Consider the following 23,729-nt stretch of genomic DNA (forward strand, 5'->3'; position numbering starts at 1 on the left):
TTTTTTTCCTGAGATTAATTAGTAGCCAGGTATAAATGACAGAAATAAATGACTTTTTTTGGTGGGCATTTACTTTTCAGCAGGGATTTGTTGAGTCCAGTTAAATATTTAGAGGATGGAATTGACAAACACCCTTTACTTGACAAAACTTTATCCAGGCTTCTCTGAGTCTTTTTCTTGACTAGGCCTCAACCTTGCCCCTGTTCTAGCCAGGTCTGCATAACCCAGTCTTAGAAAAAATCCTGCTGTCAGTTTAGCAAGAATACTCTCGTAGAAGAGGAGAAAATATTTGCAAACCATATGTCTCATGAGTTTTTAATATCCAAGATATATAAGTGACCCAAATAACCCAATAGTAAGAAAATAAATAACCATATTAAAAAATAGACCAAGGAGCGGAATAGGCATTTCTCCAAAGAAAATAAATAAATGGCAAACAGGTATATGAAAAATGCTGAACATCACTAATTATCAGGAAAATGCAAAGCAAAGCCACAATGAAGTATCAACACACACCTGTTAGAAGGGTTATCAAAAAGACAAAATATAACAAGTGTTGGTGAGGATGTAGAGAGAAGTGAACCCTTGTACACAGTTGGTATGTAAATTTGTACACTTATTATGGGAAACACTATGGAGGCACCGCAGAAAACTAGAAATTACCATATAACTCAACAATTTTACTTCTGGCTATATCCCAAAAAAATTGAAATCAGTATGTAAAGAGACATCTGCACTCCCACGTTCATTGCAGCATTATTTACGATAGTGACAACATGGGTTTGACCTAAGTGTTCATCAATGGATGAATGTATGAGGCAAATGTTGAATACTATTCAGCCTTAAAAAAGAAGAAAATTCCGTCATTTTTGAAAACATGGATGAACATCTAGGATTTTATGCTAAGTAAAATGAGCCAGACATAGAAAGACAAATACTACAGGACCTCACTCATATGTGGAGTCTAAAAAAGTGGAATTCATAGAAGCAGAGAGGAGAATGGTATTTCACAGGGCTGGGGTTAGGGAAGAAAAGATGTTGGTCAAAGGGTACACAATTTTAGTTATGCAGAATGAATAAGTTCTAGAGATCTGATGCATAGCATCATGACTGTTGTCAATAGTACCATATTTATACTTGGCAATCACTACCGGAATAGGTTTTAAATGTTCTCATCGCAAAAAAATAAATATGTGAGGTGATGGCTATGTTGATTAGCTTAATAAGCATTTTTAAACTGTCTATGTATATCAAAACACCACATTGTACACCTTAAATATATACAACTTTTACCTGACAATTATACCTCAATAAAGCTGGAGAAAAACTGCAAGGAAATATAATTCTATAGTTACAACTACTTTTTGACAAAAAAAAAAAACGTAGTGTTGATGAAGATAATATGCAAATGTTTGGATAATAGCAAGAGCTGTTTGAAAGATCACTCTCTTACCTTCTTGCCGTCTTTCCCAGAGCTTGGAGAAACTTTGTCCCAGGCCATTGCATGGTCTTTAAGCTCATTCAATCACTCAGAATTGTTCACTACCCTTCAAAATTGCCTATATTCCCCTCATTTTCTTCTCCCCTATGAAGAAGATAGTTTAGCCACAACCAAGTGGCCTTTCTTTGAATCCCATATTTGCAGGACTCCTGCAGACACTTGTGTGTTAATAAATTTGTATGCTTTTTCTCCTATTAGTCTGTTTATTGTCAGTTTGTGTAGCAGACATGAACCTTCAGGGAGTGAGGGAAAATTGTCTTGGCCTCATAGATTTGGCATAGCTGGCAGGATACCAAAACCACTCTTGCTCCTTTGGAATCTGCAGTTGAGAGAAACTAGGACTGAAAAACCAGCAAAAATGGGAAGAATTTCTTACCAGTCAGACTCCTCGTTCTCTGTCTATGAATTCCAGTTGAATGAATGGCAAAACACACTATTTTCTCTCTTTCCTATCAAAATTTAGATTAATAGGGGAAAAGCATTTGTATGGACTGGTCCTTGGGTATAGCAACTCCAGTGTATTTTTAGTATGAGCACTCATCTTATCTGATCCTTTTGCTTCCAGAAATGGCCTTTGTTTTCCTTTGTCTCTATCTTTCTGTGTTGTTTGTCACAAAGAAGAAAACTATTGGGTACAACATGGGCCTAAGGCCCTTATAAACCTGTTGTTTGAGCTAGCCTTTTGTCTTGTTTTATATCTCGAGAGCCTGGCTTTTGGGGCCAAGTGAAAACACTCTCTCTGCTTGCCTGCCAGCTGGGGGCATGGTTATTAGATCACATCAGATGGCCAGTCTGAAAGGCCTGGTAACCCATGACACGTAAAATTATTAAGTAATACTCTCTTTTCCAAAGTGCCAAACTCACAGGGGCATTTGTCTTAATAAGAAGTCTCACCCATGGGGCTTTCTGTCATTTCAGGCTTTGTTGCCTTGTTAGTCCTAGGAAAGTCCAACCCCAGAAAACCCTGCCTGGACTCATAGGTTGGTGAGTCTGTGACTGAAGGCACCCCCATCTGTCCATGTGTCCACATATTCATAAGGAGACCAGAGACACTGCACAGACACCAGCCTTAACCATCTGTGTCAACAGGATCTTTTGGCTTCTTTAGTCTATTTCCGGGAGTGAATTTTTGGGTATCATGGGAGCTGCCTCTTCCACACCTTCTTTGGGAATGCTTCTTACCTTGATGAAAAATTTTATTCTAAACTTAAAAAAATTACATCCTAGTCTTTCCTTGAAGAGGTTTATTAGATTACGTCAGTACAAAAATAAGTACACCATTGGGGACCCTAATTGTCAATGACAGATAATGGATCTTTTGACTTAGAAAGACTCTATATGTAAAAAAACGATCTCAGAAAGCTCTCCCTCCAAGCCGTTGCCTTATGTGTATTTGTTACGGGTGAGTCTTTGTTCTTAGAGCTCCCAAGATGGTGGTGGGCTGCTCCCAAGATGGCAGCAAGCCTTTTGCTCTGTAACCTGGGGTTCTTGGCCTCACAGATTCCAAGGAATGGAACCTTGGGCCATGCAGTGTGTGTTATAGCTCTGTCAGAAGCCGTGGGTTGTGGAAGAGAACCGTGGAACCCAGCAACTAGTGTTCAGCTCTATTAGGACGAACCCGGGCACTTAGCCTTGCAGGAACAATAGCAAGCCTTTAGGCCGTTGGGGAGTACCAATGGGCGCCTTGCTGGATCAGAAACGCAGCAGACACAGATCTGGAGGGGTGGAAGTCAATGGCGTGTCTGCCATGGCGGCAAACAGCTGAGCAAAAGCTCAGCTCAAGCTGGAACAAACACGGACCAGAAGAGTGTGCAGCTGCAAGATTTAACAGAGTGAAAACAAAGCTCCCATACAATGGGAGGGGACCCAAAGGGGGTTGCCCACTCCCGGCTCGAATGCGTGGGGTTTATATCCCAATCATTGTCCCTCCCCCTGTGCTCTCAGGCGATAGATGATTTGATTATTTCTTTACCTCCTGTTTTTAGCCTAATTGGTATTTTAGTGAGCCCTCTTTACTACCTGATTTGTCTGGCGTGAACTGAGTTAAAGGCCTGTGTTTAAAGATGGGTGCGGTCACCTTCCCCAACTAGGCGTAGGAATTCTTAGTCGGCCTAGGAAATCCAGCTAGTCCTGTCTCTCATTGCTATTATAGGAGTTATTAAGAAATTATTTTAGACAGATAGGGAGGAAAAGGGTCCTTGGGAAGTTATTTTTCTTTTAAAGCAGCTCCAGAAATGTTTCTTGTCTAGCAGGAAAGCCCTGGCTCTTAAAGCTGGGCTGGCAAGCTTTGGTATGCAAATACAGGCCATTAGAAACTGTGTCCACCCAAACATTGCGATTCCCGCTGTCTTCTTGCCCTTGCCCCAACATCTGTCTGACAACATGGCCGCCCCCACATATCCCCATGTGTGCAGAACATCATGGCGCCCTGAATTTGCATATTAAAAGGCTAGAGTGGGAGGGCAAGTCCCCCCCGCCCAGGCTACATGAATGACATGCCTGGTCAAACCAATCCCCTGAGCCCTATGCAAATCAGACACCACCTCCTCCAACCTTCTCATATAAGCAGCTACTTCTCCCCCCACACACGAGGTTTTCTCTTTGTTGGAATCCCCCCTCTTTCTGTGTCTGTATGGGGGAGCTGTTTTTCTTCCTTCCTTCTTTCTTGCCTACTAAACTTTTCGCACTTTAAAACCACTCCATGTGTGTCCATGTCATTTTATCCAAACCCGTGTGAGACCAAGAACCCTGATGTTCCTCCAGTCATTGGAGCCATATTATTACCAGGGGTCCTTGCTCACAGAGCTTCCAAGATGGTGGTGAGCCTCATGTTCTCTGACCTGGGGTTCTTGGTCTCACGGATTCCAAGGAATGGAATCTTGGGCCATGCAGTGAGTGTTATAGCTCTATTAGAAGCCGTGGGTCACGGAAGAGAACTGTGGAACCCAGTGACTAGTGTTCAGCTCGATTAGGACAAACCCAGGCACTTAGCCGTGCAGGAACAATGGCAAGCCTTTAGCCCCATCGGGAGTGGCAACGGGCACCTCCTTGGATAAGGAGCATAGCAGACACCCTGCTGGATCCGGAAGAATGGAAGTCAGCGGCGGGTCTGCGACAGTGGCAAAACAGCAGGGGTGGACCACAAGCGAAAGCTCAGCTCGAGCCCTAACAAACACGGACCAGAAGAGTGCAGTTGCAAGATTTAATAGAGTGAAATAGAGTGAAAACAGAGCTCCCATACAAGGGGAGGGGACCCAAAGGGGGTTGCCCTTGCCAGCTCGAATGCCTGGGTTTATATCCTGATCCTTGTCCCTCCTGCTGTGCTCTCAGGCAATAGATGATTGGCTATTTCTTTACTTCCTGTTTTTGCCTAATTAGTATTTTAGTGAGCTCTCTGATTGGTTGGGTGTGAGCTAAGTTGCAAGCTCTGTGTTTAAAGGTGGATGCGGTCACCTTCCCAACTAGGCTTAGGGATTCTTAGTCAGCCTAGGAAATCCAGCTTGTCCTGTCTCTCAATATCACTGCCTTTGTATTTCTTAAATGTATTTGATTGCTGTCTCATGCCTCCCTAAAATGCTAAAATGTATAAAACTAACCTGCACCCCGACCACCTTGGGCACATGTTCTCAGGACCTCCTGAGGGCTGTGTCACGGGCCATGGTCACTCATATTTGGCTCAGAATAAATCTCTTCAAATAACTTACAGAGTTTGACTCTTTTTGTTGACAATAGCTTTTGATTTTCTATTTTTCAAATGGACTACTTGTCTCTTCTGATTTTCCATCAATGGAAACATACATGTTATCAGCCTTTTGTGTGCATGTGGCCAACCACAGGTTGGGAGCTCCCAAAATATAGCAAGGCAAGAACGTGGGTTACATATTTTTGTGGCTAAGCATCTAAGCGTTTTTTTTTTTTTTGCCTGCCTTTGGAATGCTACAGGTTTGAAAGGGCTGCGTCTTTTCTCCCTCTTTATAGGCCTTGCTTAAAAGCCCTTATTTATTTTATTTTTTTTTTTTTGAGACAGAGTCTTGCACTGTCACCCAGGCTGGAGTGCAGTGGCACGATCTCGGCTCACTGCAACCTCTGCCTCCTGGGTTCAAGTGATTCTCCTGCCTCATCCTCCCAAGTACCTGGGATTACAGGCACCCGCCATCATGCCCAGGTAATTTTTGTATTTTTAGTACAGACGGGATTTCACCATGTTGCCCACAATTTTTTTGGTCTCAAATTTCTAACCTCAGGTGATCCTCCTGCCTCAGCCTCCCGAAGTGCTGGGATTACACGTGTGAGCCACCGTGCCCGACCTGAAAGCCGTTATTTATTTTGGTCTCATGTGCTTATTTGTTTCAGCCTTATGTCATTTGAGACATAAATTTAAAATTTTAAATTTCTGTTTATATTTGGAACGTAATAAAAGCTTTTTTTTTTGTTTCAATTGTTTGTTTGCTTTCTCCCTTCTCTGAGGTAAAAGAGAACTTTATGCTAAAAAAAATTTTTTTGATTAGTAATTACCCTAAGCCACTAACCACTTGTATTATTTCTCTGTGCCTTTTGAGGTGTAAACTCTTTCCTCAGTCTTACCTAAGAAACTACCCCCTTTAAAATGCAAATTTCAATGCAAAGAGCCGGGAAACAGGAATTTCTACTGTTTGCCCAGCTAAAACCTGGTAATAAAATAGCTTAAGAAATTTAAAAAGTTCTATGGTCAAAAGTCGCCTAATTAAAAGGTAATGCTTAGGTCATAATTTTTTTCTTTTTTTTCTTTTTTCTTTAAGAACTTTCTTCTTTGGATCCTGTTTTTTCCATAACTTTTTTCTTAGTCAACTGAAACACCATTTTTTAAATTAATAAATTTATTAATTTATTTTAATTTAATCAATAAATTTAAATACATTTGCTTCCTTTCTTGATGGCATAAATTTTGCCAAAGATAATGTAAAATTTTATTAGACTTTTGGGAAACTGAAGATCTTCTCAATCTGGTTCCCCTGAGTCTTGTTCTTTTATTTGCTTCTGCTCCTTCTATCTCCTTTTTACCTTCAATCTTCCATCCAGCTTCCTTTAATTTTTTTTTTTTTTTTTTGAGACAGAGTTTCACTGTTGTTGCCCAGGCTGGAGTGCAATGGCATGATCTCTGCTCACCGCAACCTTCGCCTCCCGAGTTCAAGCCATTCTCCTGCCTCAGCCTCCAGAGTAGGTGCCACCAGGCTCGGATAATTTTTTTTATATTTTTAGTAGAGACGGGGTTTCTCCATGTTGGTCAGGCTGGTCTCGAAATCCTAACTTCAGGTGATCCACCCGCCTCGGCCTCCCAAAGTGCTGGGATTACAGGTGTGAGCCACCGTGCCCGGTCCAGCTTCCTTTAATTTTTAATGTGTACCCTTCAAGCCTCTACCTTCTCTATTTAGTGTCAGTGGATAAAAATTACTGTGAGGAAACATCAGAGTTCTGTCAGAGGCGTTTGAACTACAGCAACTCCGTCTTGAATAGGACCTGGGTAAAATGAGGCTGAAACTTACTGGGCTGCAATCCCAGATGGTTAAGGTATTCTAAGTCACAGGATGAGATAGGAGGTCAGCAAAAAGTCGCAGGTTATAAAGACCTTGCTGATAAAACAGGTTGTAGTAAAGAAGCCGGCTAAAACCCACCAAAACCAAGATGACCATGAGAGTGACCACTGGTTGTCCTCACTGCTACACTCCCACCAGCGCCTAGACAGTTTACAAATGCCATGGCAATGTCAGAAAGTTATCCTATATAGTCTAAAAAGGGGAGACATGAATAATCCACCCCTCGTTTAGCATTTCATCAAGAAATATCCATAAAAACAGGCAACCAGCGGCCCCCAGGGCTGCTCTGTCTATGAAGCAGCCATTCTTTATTCCTTTACTTTCCTGGAAAACTTGCTTTCACCTTACTCTATGGACTCACCCTGAATTCTTTCTTGTGAGAGATCGAAGAACCCTCTTGGGGTTTGGATCGGGACCCCTTTCCTGTAACATGACTACCACATAAAGAGATCTAAAGGAGACTTCTAACAACCCTGAGATCCCCTAAGAAACACAGAAAAGGTGCCACTAGCCCTCTTTTTGGGGTCTTGTTTCTTCTTCATTGAGCCAAGTCTATATGTTTTACAGCCATAATTCAATGGTGACTCCTTGCCCTAGCTTTCTAGCCTTGACAGGCTTTTAAAAGAATAATCTAACATTCTTTATTAAAAATTCCAACAAAGCAGACTTAAAAAGAGCCTAATCAGTCACTAGTCTTGCTAGACTTATGTAAATGGTCAGGCCAAGTATAACAAAACTAATTTTACAAGTAAATTAAACTTGCTATGATTTATCTTTGGTAGCAATGTAGAGAAAATAATTATATTTTAGAAAAACCTATAGCATACCTGTTATTAGATCCTAGTTCATTGTTTTTGAGATTTTATTATTTATGTACAATCTGGACTAAATATTAAATTATTTTTGTTTCTTCCAACGTCTGGCTGCAAATCTCCAAACTAATGTTTCCAAATTTTCTCTCACTCGGCTGACTTGGAATCACAAAAAATTAAAAACTGTGTTTTGAAGCTCTGCAAGCTGAAGCTAGTCAACCTAATAAATAAACTCCAGAGAAATCATTGTGATGGCTTGTATATTGACAGCCTTTATGACATTTAGCCTGCACACCAGGATACTCTGTCAGATTGCTACTGCATACCCTGCTCCAACTAAAGATGCTTCAGACCAGATTTAAAAATATTCTCAGCTGACTGCCGTCCAGTTGCAGACTAGATTATATACTGCTCCAGACGTCAACTTTTAATTTTCTTTTGCTTCCATAGACAAGTCTCTTATTAAATACCTGTGTACTTGCACCATATTGAGACCTAGCCTTGACGAAAGTCCTACTGTCTCCTTAAATGAGCTACAACTGTTCAATTGGATTGGCCAGGGTTGGGAGATGGGTTTAGTGGTATCCTTTGCCACTTAGCTTCTAACTCAAATTCTGTCTCTCCAGCCACCAGTTCAGCTTTTAGTGTGTGTGAAACTTCTAGGGAAGTTTCAGACAGGGGTATGGCAGGGCACAGAGACTGATACCCCAAAGTATGGTGCTTTGGCATACTTTCAATTAAAGGAAATTGGAAGACCATAGAAGCTGCCTCAGAACCAAAGACTTTTTAACCTTACCTTTTTGTGCCCACCAAGCACAGGGAGAGGCTCTTTCTAAAAGTTCCTTTACCTAACTGAAGAACAATTATTTCCCCAAAAAATACAGCTGTCTTAAAAGCCCCTCCCTAGAAATCTTATCAAATAGCCAGAAAATAATCAACTGCCAGGAAAAAAAAGATCAAAAGTCATTGTCTGTGCTCAGACAGGCTGTTCATTTATTCTTCTAAGGACAACTCCAAAAAATGACCTGAGAGACTTTATCTACATAATAAGACAACCTTTGTTCATAGCAAAGTTCCATCCCACTCTTTCTTACCACTGCCCCGAAGAACTCAGAAATATTTTGTCCCAGGCCGTTGTCTGTTATTTGGGCTCAGTTAATTCCCCTAAAATTATTTACTACCTCTCAAAATTGCTTACACCCCACCTTTCCCTCTCCCCTATAAAGATGGTGTTTAAGCCTCAACCATCTGGGCTTTCTGTGAGTCTCATATTTGTGAGACTCCCATGGCTATGTACACATGAGTAAGTTTGTATGCCTTTTCTCCTGTTAATTTGTCTATTGTCAGTTTGTTTAACAGACTCAAGTCTTCAAAGGGGAAGGAAAAATTATCTTCACTTTTATGTGGGCACCTAAGTATACATTTACTCTACTTCTCATGCTTCCTAATGATACAGAAGCTACTTATTATTGTGGTACTTTTATTGAAGTATAATTAATATATAATAAGCTGCACACATTTAAAGTGTACATTTGTAAATTTTGACATATACATATATATATATACACACATATACACACACAAGTGAAATCATCCCACAATCAAGATAATGAGCATACCATTATCCCCCAATAGAAGCAATAATTATTCACACCATTTTACCGATAAGATAGTTGATTTCATTTGTTGGGCATTACACTGGCTACTATGTGGTGAGCCAGGTCCTGAAGCTGTGTCAGCTAGATTTCAGAACCATCTCTCTTCCCACAGCATCAGCTTGTGTCTATCTGTCTGTCTCTGTCCCTCTCTCTCACTTTCTCCCCCTCTCTTTCCGTTCTCCACTCTGCCTGTCTTTCTGCCTCTGTCTCTCTGCCTCTAATATTGGGCACTCACTCTGAGTTAAAGGGTATATATTTAGATTCTCAACACTGTCATTGTAAGCCAGTAACAATGATAACCAGAAATGCCAATTACAACTAACATGTATGACAAATCACTGTGAAGAATTCCTTATATGGTGCCATATTTGAGGCAACGTGGCCCTTAAAATTTTGACCTTGCAATCAGGCTGACCCAGGTTTGAACCTTAGTCCTCATATTTCCTGAATAACCCTGGGTGATCCAAGCATCCTCTCTGAGCCTTGACATCCTTACTGGAAAAACGGAGAATAATGCCTATTTTAGAACTGATGTGAGAACCTCATGGCATAATCTACTTAGCACCATATTTGATAATAGCAAGTATTCCAAAACTATGATTATTAAAAGCATCATAGCATGATTTTCCTCCTTAAAGAATAGAGTTCTTTCTACACTGGTAAATAAATATACACACAAGAGCATGTCTTGATTTACCATATTGTATAACACCAGAACAACAGAAAATACAGTGTTTTTGAAAAGGAGTAGAGAAAATTGGAAATGGTTAACATCTTCCTTACTTTCTGTCCTTTTATGTTTATTTTTGGTAAAAGATTTTTGAGTAAAACATATGACTCTTTAGATATTAGTAGGTTTTTTTTTCTTTTTCTTTTTTTCACAAGTTTCCATTTAACTGCCCAGGTGTCAGGCCAGGAATGAGTTTCGCAGCTTTCTGTTAGTCCTCATTTTGTTAGTTTTAAATTCCATGGCTCAAATTTCAGTATATATGCACAATCATCTTTGAGCAGATCAGCAAATTCGAAAACATTTTCCAGGTCCTGTGGTCAATACAAAAATCAAGTTAATAGATTGTCATTGAAATAGATAGTGAATTTGAATGTTCAAGAGATCAGCAGGTCAATACTGGAGAGAAATTAATCAGTATAAAAAGTATGTTGGAGGAGGGCCAATTTAAGTGGATTTTTTTTCTTTTAAATGAGAAATAATCACAGCAGGGGTTATTCATATCTTTGGAATATAACTGAAATCTTACCTTGTAAATCTTGGTCTTACAGACATTTCAGGAAGTGATCAGAATGTAAATAACCTACTTTGGAAACCTGGTCATTTGCCTTCTGTTCAATAAGGAGGTGGGAAGTTTCACAAAGGGTCTCTTTGTTCACTCCAACTCTCCATATGGCTTCGCTGACAGTAGCAGAGGGCAATATAAAATGAAATAAGTCAACAGGATTTGTTCTTTCCTCTTTTTAAAATAAGCATGCTAAGAAACAGGCAATGTATTAGATGCTGAGTGCACAAGGGGATAAAAGCCACATTCCTTATCTCTTAAGAGCTATACATCTTTAATTTTAGCTGGGACAGCTAAGTATATCCACATTAAAAAATAAAAAATAGTGTATGGCTAAAAACAGGCACCACATGAACGATATGGACGAGAAATACTTTTGTAAGAAAGAAATTACTTTGAGCTAAAGTCAGGTTACTGTGGTGTGGAAGTCAAGCAAGCGTGGAAATCAAGCAGGCTTGGTGCAAGACATAGATTCTGAGCTGGACTCAGGGTTGGATTTTATCAGGAAGACTGTGGAGAATGACAAAAGCGAATCCTCAGAGAATGAAAGGTCAAATTCACCTCCAAACTCTTGCTAATCACATATTCCTCTGCCTAGTCCATCTGTACTGTGACTCTTCCCAATCCCAAACTGTCTTGAAATAGGATTATTAGACTTCATCCATCACTTCAACGTATCAATATATTGTTGTTTCGTTAACCACTGCATCTTTTGTCTATGTTACGTATTCTTCCAGGTTACATAAAAGGCATTTGAGGAGGGCACTTAGAGGTTTTTGGCTCATGCTGTTGGAGGGAGGATATTGTTATTCAGCCAAGTAGGAAACATCAAAAGAAGACTTTATTTGGGGGAAAGGTCCTTAGTTTGGTGTTGAATAAATTGAGTTTGAAGTGACTTTGAGACAACTTGTGGAATTAACTATAGCTATCATTGAGTGTTTTATGACAGAAAATTGTTATTTTCTCTTTCTCACTTTTCTTTCTCTTTGCAAGGAGCAACAATTTTGCAAAATATGTAATGCACATGTATTATTTTAAAAGTAGAAAAAATAAAATAATAAATAACATGAACAATTCAAGAGTTTTAAAAAATTAATATTACTCATGAGATTTTATTTTGATCCAATTATTTTATAAAAATGTGAACAGCAAAGCACCAAATTTAGAGGCTTCATTACAGAGGGTATCTTCAACTGCTGCCATACGAATCTTTAAAATGTGCAATGTCTCAACACAATGAAAATTTATCGTATTTTCACATAAGCACAAAAACAGTGTTCCTAACTAGTGAGCAGTCTCCTCCAAAGGAAGTCAGGGACCTAGTACTTTCCATCTGTGGCTCTCCCATCTTTAGTGTGTGCCTTCTGTGGTTGCTACCCTTGTCTTCTTCAGGTGATGGAAAAATAAAAAGCATGGAGGATTTTTCCATGAGGCATTTCTTTGCTCCAGACTTGAAAGTGGCACAAATCACTTCTCATATTCCACTGGCTAGAACTAAGTTACATGGGTTTATCTTCAATGGAGGCTGGGAATTATATTCTGGCTTGTGTGTCCAGTAAGAATAGTGAACAGGTTTTGTGGCAAACTAGGAAAATTCTGCCTCATGTGTCAAGTGCGCATTCAGTACTTTCCCTCTACAATGGCATCTTATTGGCATCTTTTCAGTTCCTTCTTTAATTATTATCTGGTTAACATTTTCATATGCACACACACAAGTAGATAGGGTATTAGTGGCTTTGGTGCAATTCAGAGATATAAGTAAGCATTCCCCTGGAATATCAACCTATTAATGCTGTGTTAAAGAAAATGAAGTTAGATTGAAGTGACTTGTTCTGACTGAATGAATCACTCTTTTATTTTTTAGTGCATATCAATCATTACATTAAATATTAATTTTAGAAATTTGTGGAGATCAATGTGGTCTTGGTTTGGGTTTGGTTTGTTCTTGTTTCTCTAGTTTCTTGAGGTGTGAACTTAGATCATCTATTTGTGCTCTTTCAGACTTTTGGATGTAGGCATTTAATGCTGTGAACTTTCCTCTTAGCACCGCTTTTGCTGTATCCCAGTGGTATTGATTGGTTCTGTCACTGTTATTGTTTAGTTCAAAGAATTTTAACATTTCCATCTTGATTTTATTGTTGACCCAAAGATCATTCAGGGGAAGGAGACCCTATGATTATCACAGCATATTGCCTAGAGAGTTTACAGGCTAAGAGAAAAGGGGAGCTCAGGCTATGTCAAATGAAACTCAGGTGATTGGAGTTTGCAGGCCAGTGTACTAGAGGAAACAGAATTGTGTATAGAGGAAACTTTGGATATGTTCAGAGGGTCCCCTCAAGTATTCAGCCGAATACTGATCAGCACATGCATGTGAGGAAACTACCTGAGTCTGGGGATAGAACCAACTGAAAGGATTAGAGGTAATAGTGTCTGATATTTATGCACAACTGAAAATATGGGTTATTTTTGCCAGTTAAACTGGAAAATGACAAGATTCGTGGGGCATTGGTTAGAGTGCTGATTGGCAGTTTCTTGTATCTGTAATGGGATAATTAGCCAGAGAATGAATACTGCTCTAGTCCTGTCTGACAAATATCAAAAGCAAGATCTGAAACAATACAATAGTTTTCAAGTAACTTAATTTCACTCTAGAAAAGAGCTCAAGAATATTTAGAATGAAACAAAAAATATCACTCAACATGGTAATATTCACAATGTTTAGCACCTCCCCAAAATTTCCAGGCAAACAAAAAAGCAGGAAAATACAACCTATAAGGTCAAATCAATGAAAACTGTCTGCAAACCACACAGATGTTAGAATTAGCAGTCAAGGACACTAAAACTGTATTCTGTGTATTCAAAAAGTTAAGTCATAAGAGGAAGGAGAATCACTTGAACCTGGGAGGCAGAGGTTGCAGTGAGCTAAGATCATGTCATTGTACTCCAGCCTGGGCAACAGAGTGAGACTGTCTCAAAAAACAAACAAACAAACAAACAAACAAACAAACAAAAACCATATATTTTAAAGACCAAAATTCAACTTCTAAGGAAAAAATGATAATGTGCAAAGTTAAAAATACACTGTGTGACCAGCTAGAACTCTCTAGCTAAGTAAATTGTTCCCCAACCAGTATTTTTTGTTGGAATTCAGAATGACTTTTTGACCATTATAAATTACTGTGCCTCATGAATTTTAGGGCTTGATTGAGAATAAAGTCATGAATGTTAATTCCTCAATGATTAAGGGTTCATTTATATTTACAAGTGGAAAATTGTACCTGGCTTCAAGAACTTACAATTTAATTGGAAAGACTGAACCCTCATGAAGGTAGGAAGAGAGTAAATGCAAAATGACATGGTGAAATGTATTGAAATTTTTATCCCCCCCGTCAGCTTCCCTTATCATTACTCTATTCTATAAGGGTAGAGTTTTGAGGGTCAAAAGGTCTTCTATTTTCTGTCTATAAGAGCTGTTTGTTGTTAACCTAAGAGCGGAGACCTAGGACTCAAGAAATTCAGTTTTATTATCTTATGTTTGAATTTTTTTGGTTGCTTCTGGCTTGCAAGTCCTAGGATGTTGAGGTCTAATAGTGACTCTACTTAGTAAGTCATAGATAGGTGTTGTGAGTTGAACTGTATTTCTCCAAAAGAAACATATTGAGATTTTAATTCAAGTATTTATTTGCTATGGTCTGAATATTTGTAGCCCCCAAAATTCATATGTTAAAACCTAATCTCAATGTGATGGTGTTAGAAAGTGAGGCCTTTGGGAAGTGATGAGGTCATGAGAATAGAGCCCTCATGAATGGGATTAGTGCCCTTATAAAAGAAGCCCCAGAGAGCTGACTTGTGCTTCTATCATGTGAGGACACAGTGAGAAGGCACCATCTATGAACCAGGGAACAAGCCTTCATCAGACCCTGAATCTGTTGGCACCTTGACCTTGGACTTCCCAGCCTCCAGAACTGTAAGAAATAAATGTTTGTTGTTTATAGGCCATCCAGTTAATGGTATTTTGTTATAGAAGCCTGAATGGACTAAGATACCTTAAATGTGACCTTATTTGGAAATAAGGTTTTGCAGATATTATCAAGTTAAGATGACGTCACCCTGGATTAAAGTGGATGACTAGTGTCCTTATAAGAAGAGAGAGATTTAAAGGCACAGGGAAGAAGGCCATGGGTATACAGACGCAGAAATTGGAGCTGTGCTGCCATAAGCCAAGGAATGCCAAGGATTGCCAGCAACCACCAGAAGCTAGGAGAAGTGAGAAAGTATGATCCCCTAGACCCTAAGAGGGAACATGGCCCTGCTGACATTCTCAGACTTCTAGCCTTCAAATTGTGAGATGAAAAATCTCTGTTGTAAGCTTTCCCATTTGTGATTTGTTACAGCAGCTTTAGGAAACTGATACTGTAGGAGAGAGTGCCATCTCAGCTCAACATCTGCCTAATCAATGCCCATGCCCCAAACTTGTAAGGGGGCAAGAAGTTGTTGCCATCCCTTTCCAGAGTACTTCCTGACTTGCCAACTTTCTCCAGACCAAACACACTCTAGATGGAGAGACATATAGTTCCTTTACAGAGTTAAGGGCAATTGCAGCAATAACCTCAATTTTAATGTCTCTCTTTATTCATTCCCTTTGAAAGTGCTCTCTCATACTGGGTTTGGATCTGTGGTGCTGTTTTGTTTTTTTCTGGTCAGTGGGACAGTAGCAAATACAATTCAAGCAGAGATATAGGATGTGCTTGAACATCTGGGGTTGCCCTCTTATTGCTCTCAGACCTTATTGCTATGTGAACCCACCTGGGAGAGGCTGCTGGAGAATGAGAGACATCCCAGTCATTCCACCTGAGGCTTTCATAAGCCAGTCAGCTCCACCTGGCTCACACACTAACCCCGGACTCATAAACAAGCCCAGCCAAGATTGACAAGGCCCACCCAAGAGCAGAATTTCTGCCCAGCTGAGTCCAGTCCAAGTTACTCTTGTGAATTTTGTTAATAAGTAGGTATTAAAAGTATAGCTACTATCAAGTATGATTATGATTTTTTTTTTTAAATTTTAAAAGAAGAGGGGGCAGGACCAAGATGGCTGACTAGAAGCAGTGGTGGTCAGAGGCTCACATTGAAAAGAATCAAAAGAGTGTGCGAATCCTGCACTGGCAACCAAGTATCCAGGTTCTGTCTCAGGACTGACTAGGTGGCTGGCATGACCCATGGAGAGGAAGGAAGAGCAGTGTTGTGCGGCAGCCCACGGGAGAGCCACATGAGGCGGGGGAGCCCTCACCCCTCAGCCAAGGGAGGTGATAAGTTAGCTTGCTACCCAGCCTGGGAAACCGTGCCTTTTCCACGGATCTGTGCAACCCACAGATTGAAAGATCCCACTCATGAGCCCACACCATTGGAGCCTAGGATCCCAATCACGGAGCCACTCAGATTCAGAACAGCCACTTGACTAGAATCTGCCTAAGTCTGCTGAGTTCCCAGGGGGAGTGGTGGCCAGCACCACAGCCCAGCTGCCTGCTGTCTAAGCCATCTGAGTTCCTTGCGGGAGGTGTGGCAGCCAACACTGGGGCTGCTAGCTGCCTAACACACTAAGCTCCCGGAGTGGCGAGGGGGCGGGGCGGGGGGGCAAAGGAATGGCGGCAGCCATTTCTATGGCTCCAGGCAACACTTTTCCCCTGCTGGAGCCAAGGATAATGGACCTCTTGGTCCCAAGAGGTATTCCCCACAGCCCAACACACCGGCTGTGGCAGACTGTGGCCAGAGTGCCTCTTCAGGCCGGACACTGGCCCATTTCTCCTCACTGGGCAGGGCCTCCCTGCAGGAACTTCAACTGCAGCCAGGGGCTCAGGGTCAGAACTCTGATCTCACTGGGCCTGAGCCACTAGCAGGAGGGGTGGCCATAGTCTCCATGGACCAGCATAATTAGTCTTTCCTTCTGCTAGCTCTGAGGAATCCATCAGCCCAGACGAGTAAGATTCCCCCCAGTGCGGCACACCCTCTCCACCGAGGGACAATCAAAGTGCTTTGTTAAATGGGTCCTGCTTCCTATGCCACCCAACTGGGTGAGACCCTCCAACAGGGGTTGTCAGACACCCTATACAGGAGCTTTCCTACTGGCATCAAGTTGGCGCCCCTCAAGGTCAGAGATTCCAGAGGAAGGAGCAGGCACCCATTTTTGCTGTTCCCCAGCCTCCTCAAGTGACATCTCCAGGCATGGGAGTGAACCAGAAGAATAGGGACAGAAGGGAACCCCTAGCAAACTGCACAGCCCTACAGAAGAGGGACCTGACTATTGAAAGAAAAACAAACACAACGGAAAGAAACAACAACAGCATCAAAAAAAAAAAAAAGTCCCCACAAAAACCTCATCCAAGGGTCAGCAGCCTCAAAGATCGACTAGACAAACTCTTGAAGATGAGAAAGAATCAATGAAAAAATGCTGAAAACCCAAAAGGCCAGAGTGCCTCTTCTCCTCCAAATAATCACTACACCTCTCCAGTAAGGGTGCAGAACTGTATGGAGAATGAGATGGACGAATTGACAGAAGTAGGCTTCAGAAGGTGGGTAATAAAAAAATTCTGCCAAGGTAAAGGAACATGCTCTAACTCAACGCAAAGAAGCTAAGAACCTTGATAAAAGGTTACAGGAGCTGCTAACTAGAATAATCAGTTTAGAGAGGAACATAAATGACCTCATGGAGCTGAAAAACACAGCACAAGAACATCTTGAAGCATACGCAAGTATCAATAGCTGAGTAGATCAAGTGGAAGAAAGAATATCAGAGATTGAAGACTATCCTGCTGAAATAAAGCAGGCAGACAAAATTAGAGAAAAAGAATAAAAATGAATGAACAAAACCACCAAGAAATTTGGGGCTATGTAAAAAGACCAAACCTATGATTGATTGGAGTAACTGCAAGAGATGGGAAGAATAGAACCAAGCTGGAAAACACACTTCAGGGTATTATCCAGGAGAACTTCCCCAACCTAGTAAGACAGGCCAACATTCAAATTCAGGAAATACAGAGAACAACACTAAGATATTCCACGAGAAGATCCACGCCAAGACACATAATCATCAGATTCTCCACGGTTGAAATGAAGGAAAAAATGTTAAGGGCAGCCCGAGAGAAAGGCCAGGTCACCTACAAAGGGAAGCCCATCAGAGTAACAGCAGATCTGTCAGCAGAAACCCTACAAGCCAGAAGAGAGTGAGGGCCAATATTCAACATTCTTAAAGAAAAGAATTTTCAACACAGAATTTCATATCCGGACAAACTAAGCTTCATAAGCCAAAGAAATAAAATCCTTTCCAGACAAGCAAATGCTGAGGGATTTCATCACCACCAGGTCTGGCTTGCAAGAGCTCCTGAAAAAAATCACTAAATATGGAAAGGAAAAACCAGTATCCACCACTGCAAAAACACACCAAAATATAAAAACCAATGACACTATGAATAAACTGCATCAACTAATGTGCAAAATAACCAGCTAGCATCATGATGAAAGGATCAAATTCACACAAAAGAATACTAACCTTAAATGTAAATAGGCTAAATGCTCCAATTAAAAGAGAAAGACTGGCAAATTGGATAAAGGGTCAAGACCCATTGGTGTGCTGTGTTTTAGAAACCCATCTCACATGCAAAGACACACATAGGCTCAAAATAAAGGGATAGAGGAAAATTTGGCAAGCAAATGGAAAGAAAAAAAAGCAGGGGTTGCAATCCTAATTTATGGAAAAACAGACTTTAAACCAACAAAGATCAGAAAAGACAAAGAAGGGCATTACATAATGGTAAAGGAATCAATTCAACAAGAAGAGCTATCCTAAATATATATGCATCCAATACAGGAGCACCAAGATTCATAAAACAAGTTCTTAGAGACCTACAGAGAGACTTAGACTCCCCCACCATAATAGTGGGAGACTTTAACACCCCACTGTCAATATTAGACAGATCAACAAGACAGAAAGTTAACAAGGATATTCAGGACTTGAACTCAGCTCTGGATAAAGTCGACTTAATAGATATCTACAGAACTCTCCACCCCAAATCAAGAGAATATACATTCTTCTCAGTGCCACATGGAACTTATTCTAAAATCAACCACATAATTGGAAGCAAAATACTTCTCAGCAAATGCAAAAGAACTGAAATAATAACAAACAGTGTCTCAGACCACAGTGCAATCAAATTAGAACTCAGGATTAAGAAACTTACTCAAAACCACACAACTACATGGAAATTGAACAACCTGCTCCTGAAGGACTCCTGGGTGAATAATGAAATTAAGTTAGAAATCAAGACGTTCTTGGAAACCAATGAGAACAAAGAGGCAATATACCAGAATCTCTGAGACAGATAAAGCAGGGTTAAGAGGAAATTTATAACACTAAATGCCCACATCAGAAAGCTAGAAAGATCTCAAATCAACACCCTAACTTCATAATTAAAAGAACTAGAGAGGCAAGAGCAAACAAATCCAAAAGTTAGCAGAAGACAAGAAATAACTAAGATCAAAGCAGTCCTGAAGGAAATAGAAACATGAGAAACCCTCCAAAAAATCAATGAATCCGGGAGCTGGTTTTTTGAAAAAATTAACAAAATAGATAGACCACTAGGTAGACTAATAAAGAAGAAGAGAGAGAAGAATCAAATGGACACAATAAAAAATGATAAAGGGGATATCATAACTGACCCCAGAGAAATACAAACTGCCATCAGAGAATACTATAAACACCTCTATGCAAATAAACTAGAAAATCTAGAAGAAATGGATAAAATCCTGGACACATACACCCTCCCAAGACTAAACTAGGAAGAAGTCAAATCCCTGAACAGACTAATAACAAATTCTGAAATTGAGGCAGTAATTAATAGCCTACCCACTAAAAAAGCCCAGGACCAGGTGGATTCACAGCCAAACTCTACTGGAGATACAAAGAAGAGCTGGTACCATTCCTACTGAAACTACTGCAAAAAATTGAAAAGGAGAGATTCCTCCATCACTAATTTTATGAAGCCAGCATCATCCTGATACCATAACCTGACAAAGAGACAACAAAAAAATAAAACTTCAGGCCAATATCCTTGATGAACATCAATGCAAAAATCCTCAATAAAATACTGGCAAATCTAATCCAGAAGTACATCAAAAAGCTTATTCACCATGATCAAGATGGTTTCATCCCTGTGACGCAAGTCTGGTTCAACATATGCAAATCAATAAACGTAATCCATCACATAAACGAACCAAAGACAGAAACCATATGATTATCTCAATAGATGCAAAAAAGGCCTTTGATAAAATTCAACATCGCTTCATATTAAAAACTCTCAATAAACTACATATTGATGGAACATATCTCAAAATAATAAGAGCTGTTTATGACAAACCAACAGCCAATATCATACTGAATGGGTAAAACCTGGAAGCATTCCCTTTGAAAACCAGCACAGGACAAGGATGTCCCCTCTCACCACTCCTATTCAACATAACATTGGAAGTTCTGGCCAGGGCAATAAGGCAAGAGAAAGAAATAAATGTATTTGAATAGGAAGAGAGGAAGTCAAATTATCTCTGCAGATGACATGATTCTATATTGGGAAAACTCCATAGTCTCAGCCCAAATACTCCTTAAGTTGATAAGCAACTTCGGCAAAGTCTCAGGATACAAAATCAATGTGCAGAAATCACAAGTATTCCTATACACCAACAATAGACAAGCAGACAGCCAAATCATGAGTGATCTCCCATTTACAATTGCTGCAAAGAAAATAAAATATCTAGGAATACAGCTAACAAGGGACATAAAAGGCCTCTTCAAGAACTACAAACCACTGCTCAAGGAAATAAGAGAGAACACAAACAAATGGAAAAACATTCCATCCTCTTGGATAGAAAGAATCAATATCATGAAAATGGCCATATTGTCCAAAGTAATTTATCAATTCAATGCTATTCCAATCAGACTATCATTGATGTTCTTCACAGAATTAGAAAGAACTATTTTAAATTTCATATAAAACCAAAAAAGAACCTGTATAGCCAAGACAATTCTAAGCAAAAAGAAGAAAGTTGAAGGCATCATGCTACCTGACTTCAAACTATACTATAAGCCTACAGTAACCAAAACAGCGTGGTACTGGTACCAAAACAGACATATAGAGCAATGGACAGAACAGAGACCCCAGAAATTATACCACACATCTACAACCATCTGATCTTTTTTTTTTTTTTTTTTTTGAGATGGAGTCTCGCTCTGTCTCCCAGGCTGGAGTGCAGTGGCGTGATCTCTGCTCACTGCAAACTCCACCTCCCAGGATCCTGCCATTCTCCTGCCTCAGCCTCCCGAGTAGCTGGGACTACAGGTGCCCGCCACTGTGCCCGGCTAATTTTTTTGTATTTTTTAGTAGAGATGGGGTTTCACTGTGTTAGCCAGGATGGTCTCGATCTCCTGACCTCGTGATCCACCCGCCTCAGCCTCCCAAAGTGCTGGGATTACAGGCGTGAGCCACCGTGTCCTGCCCAACCATCTGATCTTTGACAAACCTGACAAAAACAAGCAATGGGGAAAGGATTCCCTATTTAATAAATAATGCTGGGGGAAATGATTCCCTTTTTAATAAATAGTGCTGGGAAAACTGCCTAGCCATATGCAGAAAATGAAAACTGGACCCCTTCCTTACACCTTATACAAAAATTAACTCAAGATGGATTAAAGACTTAAATGCAAAACCCAAAACCATAAAAACCCTAGAAGAAAACCCAGGCAATACCATTCAGGACATGGGCATGGGCAAAGATTTCATGATGAAAACGCCAAAAGCAACTGCAACAAAAGGTAAAATTGACAAATGGGATATAATTAAACTAAAGAGCTTCTGCACAGCAAAAGAAACTATCATCAGAGTGAAAAGGCAACCTACAGAATGAGAGAAAATTTTTGCAATCTACCCATCTGACAAAGGTCTAATATCCAGAATCTACAAGGACCTTAAACAAATTTATGAGAAAAAAACAAACAACCCCATCCAAAAGTGGGCAAAGAATATGAACAGACTCTTCTCAAAGAAGACATTTATGTGGCTAACAAACATGAAAAAAAGCTCAACATCACTGATCATTAGAGAAATGCAAATCAAAACCCCAGCGAGATACCGTCTCACGTCAGTCACAATGACGATTATTAAAAAGTCAAGAAACAACAGATGCTGACGAGGCTGTGGAATGTAAATTAGTTCAATCATTGTGGAAGATAGTGTGGCTATTCCTCAAGGATCTTGAACTAGAAATATCATTTGACCCAGCAATCCCATTACCAGGTATATACCCAAAGGATTATAAGTTATTCTACTATAAAGATACATGCACATGTATGTTTATTGCAGCACTATTTACAATAGCAATGACATGGAACCAACCCTAATGCCCATCAATGATAGACTGGATAAAAAAATGTGGTACATATACACCACGAAATACAATGCAGTCATAAAAAGGAATGAGATCATGTCCTTTGCAGGGACATGGATGAAGCTGGAAGCCATCATCCTCAGCAAACTAACACAGGAACAGAAAACCAAACATCGCATGTTCTCACTCATAAGTGGGAGTTGAACAATGAGAACACATGGGCACAGGGAGGGGAACAACACACACCAGGGCCTGTGGGCAGGGCGGAGGGGGGCAGGCACAAGTGGAGGGAGAGCATCAGGACAAATAGCTAATGCATGAGGGGCTTAAAACCTAGATGATGGGTTCATAGGTTCAGCAAACCACCATGGCACACGTTTACCTGTGTAACAAACCTGCATGTGCTGCACATGTATCCCAGAACTTAAAGTAAAATAAAAATTTAAAAAAGTAAGACTCTTCTATTAATTAAAGATTATGTAACTGTAAGTATATCCTCTGAATTTTCACTATTGGCTTTTAATGATGATCAGATGACATTGTAAATTTGTCCTGAGTTTCCTGTCATATTTGTTATCTCAACCAACTCTTTGTCAGACAGTTAATTTTTTTTATCTCTTCTCTGCATCCTGAGAGCGGAGGTGAATAAATGGTGTTGTTACACGCAGCTGAATTTTGGGGTGGTTTGTTATGCAGCAAGTCCTACCTGATAGAGAAAGGTTGGCAGATCCCACAGAGAAGCCACACTAATAGCCCCCAAGGAAGAAGCCTCAGGCAGAATCAGACCTTCAGAAATAAGGATGTTTTCTTCCTCTTAGCATTTGCAACTCCTATTTCTCACTCTATTAAGGAAGAGATTTGAATATTAGAGAAAACTTAATTGAATCTAATACTCCCCCACCCCGAATGAGTAAGTAGAAGCCACTCACAGCTATCTTTCTTGATGCATATGACAAGCTCAGGACAAAATCAGATGACCCTTAGCAGAGCAACGTTAGGGTATAATAAAAGACATGCTAATGGGAAGATGTGTTTTCCTCATATAAGAATATAACGTGTTGTTTCGGAAAAAGTAATGTCTGCTGTAGGGAAGTGTGCCAGCTTCCTAGGCAACTTCCAAGAAAATCAGCTACAGCTTCCAGGTGGGGAGATTGAACTGGAATAAGGAGCACTGACAACCCCCTGCTGACCCCTTAATAATGCCAGAACCTACTTGACCCCTTTCAACTAACCAAAGGAAAAATTTCATTAGCCTCCAGCCCAAACTTGAGAAACTTGGTAGTTTGTAGAAAACAAGAAGAAGGATCAAGGAGTGGAAGGAACCTCTTCCTCGCATGGAGAGCGGGGAGTCAGGACACCCAACCGAGGCATTGGAAGTAGGAGTCTAGGGTAAGAGGATGGACATGAAGGAGAGGAGAAAGTGAGCATTTGTGCAGATATCAACTTTCCAAAGGCTTAATCCTGTC

At 40.3% G+C, this 23,729-nt stretch overlaps 1 protein-coding gene across 2 annotated transcripts in view, besides 1 other annotated feature; it reads left to right on the top strand.

Annotated features, from left to right (window-relative positions):
* The window catches only part of CLVS1 (clavesin 1), a 536,782-nt gene that overhangs the window by 195,777 nt on the left and 317,276 nt on the right, over positions 1–23,729 (top strand). The gene's annotated exons all lie outside the window — the stretch shown is intronic.
* Positions 2,800–3,301: an enhancer, noted in NCBI's record as "H3K27ac hESC enhancer chr8:62075983-62076484 (GRCh37/hg19 assembly coordinates)". NCBI's record gives its function as "activates a minimal SCP1, AML or CMV promoter by ChIP-STARR-seq in naive H9 embryonic stem cells {active_cell/tissue: H9 hESC(naive)}" and the evidence as "EXISTENCE:reporter gene assay evidence [ECO:0000049][PMID:30033119]".

This window comes from Homo sapiens, chromosome 8, assembly GCF_000001405.40.
Source record: "Homo sapiens chromosome 8, GRCh38.p14 Primary Assembly".
In the NCBI taxonomy this organism is placed as follows: Eukaryota; Metazoa; Chordata; class Mammalia; order Primates; family Hominidae; genus Homo; species Homo sapiens.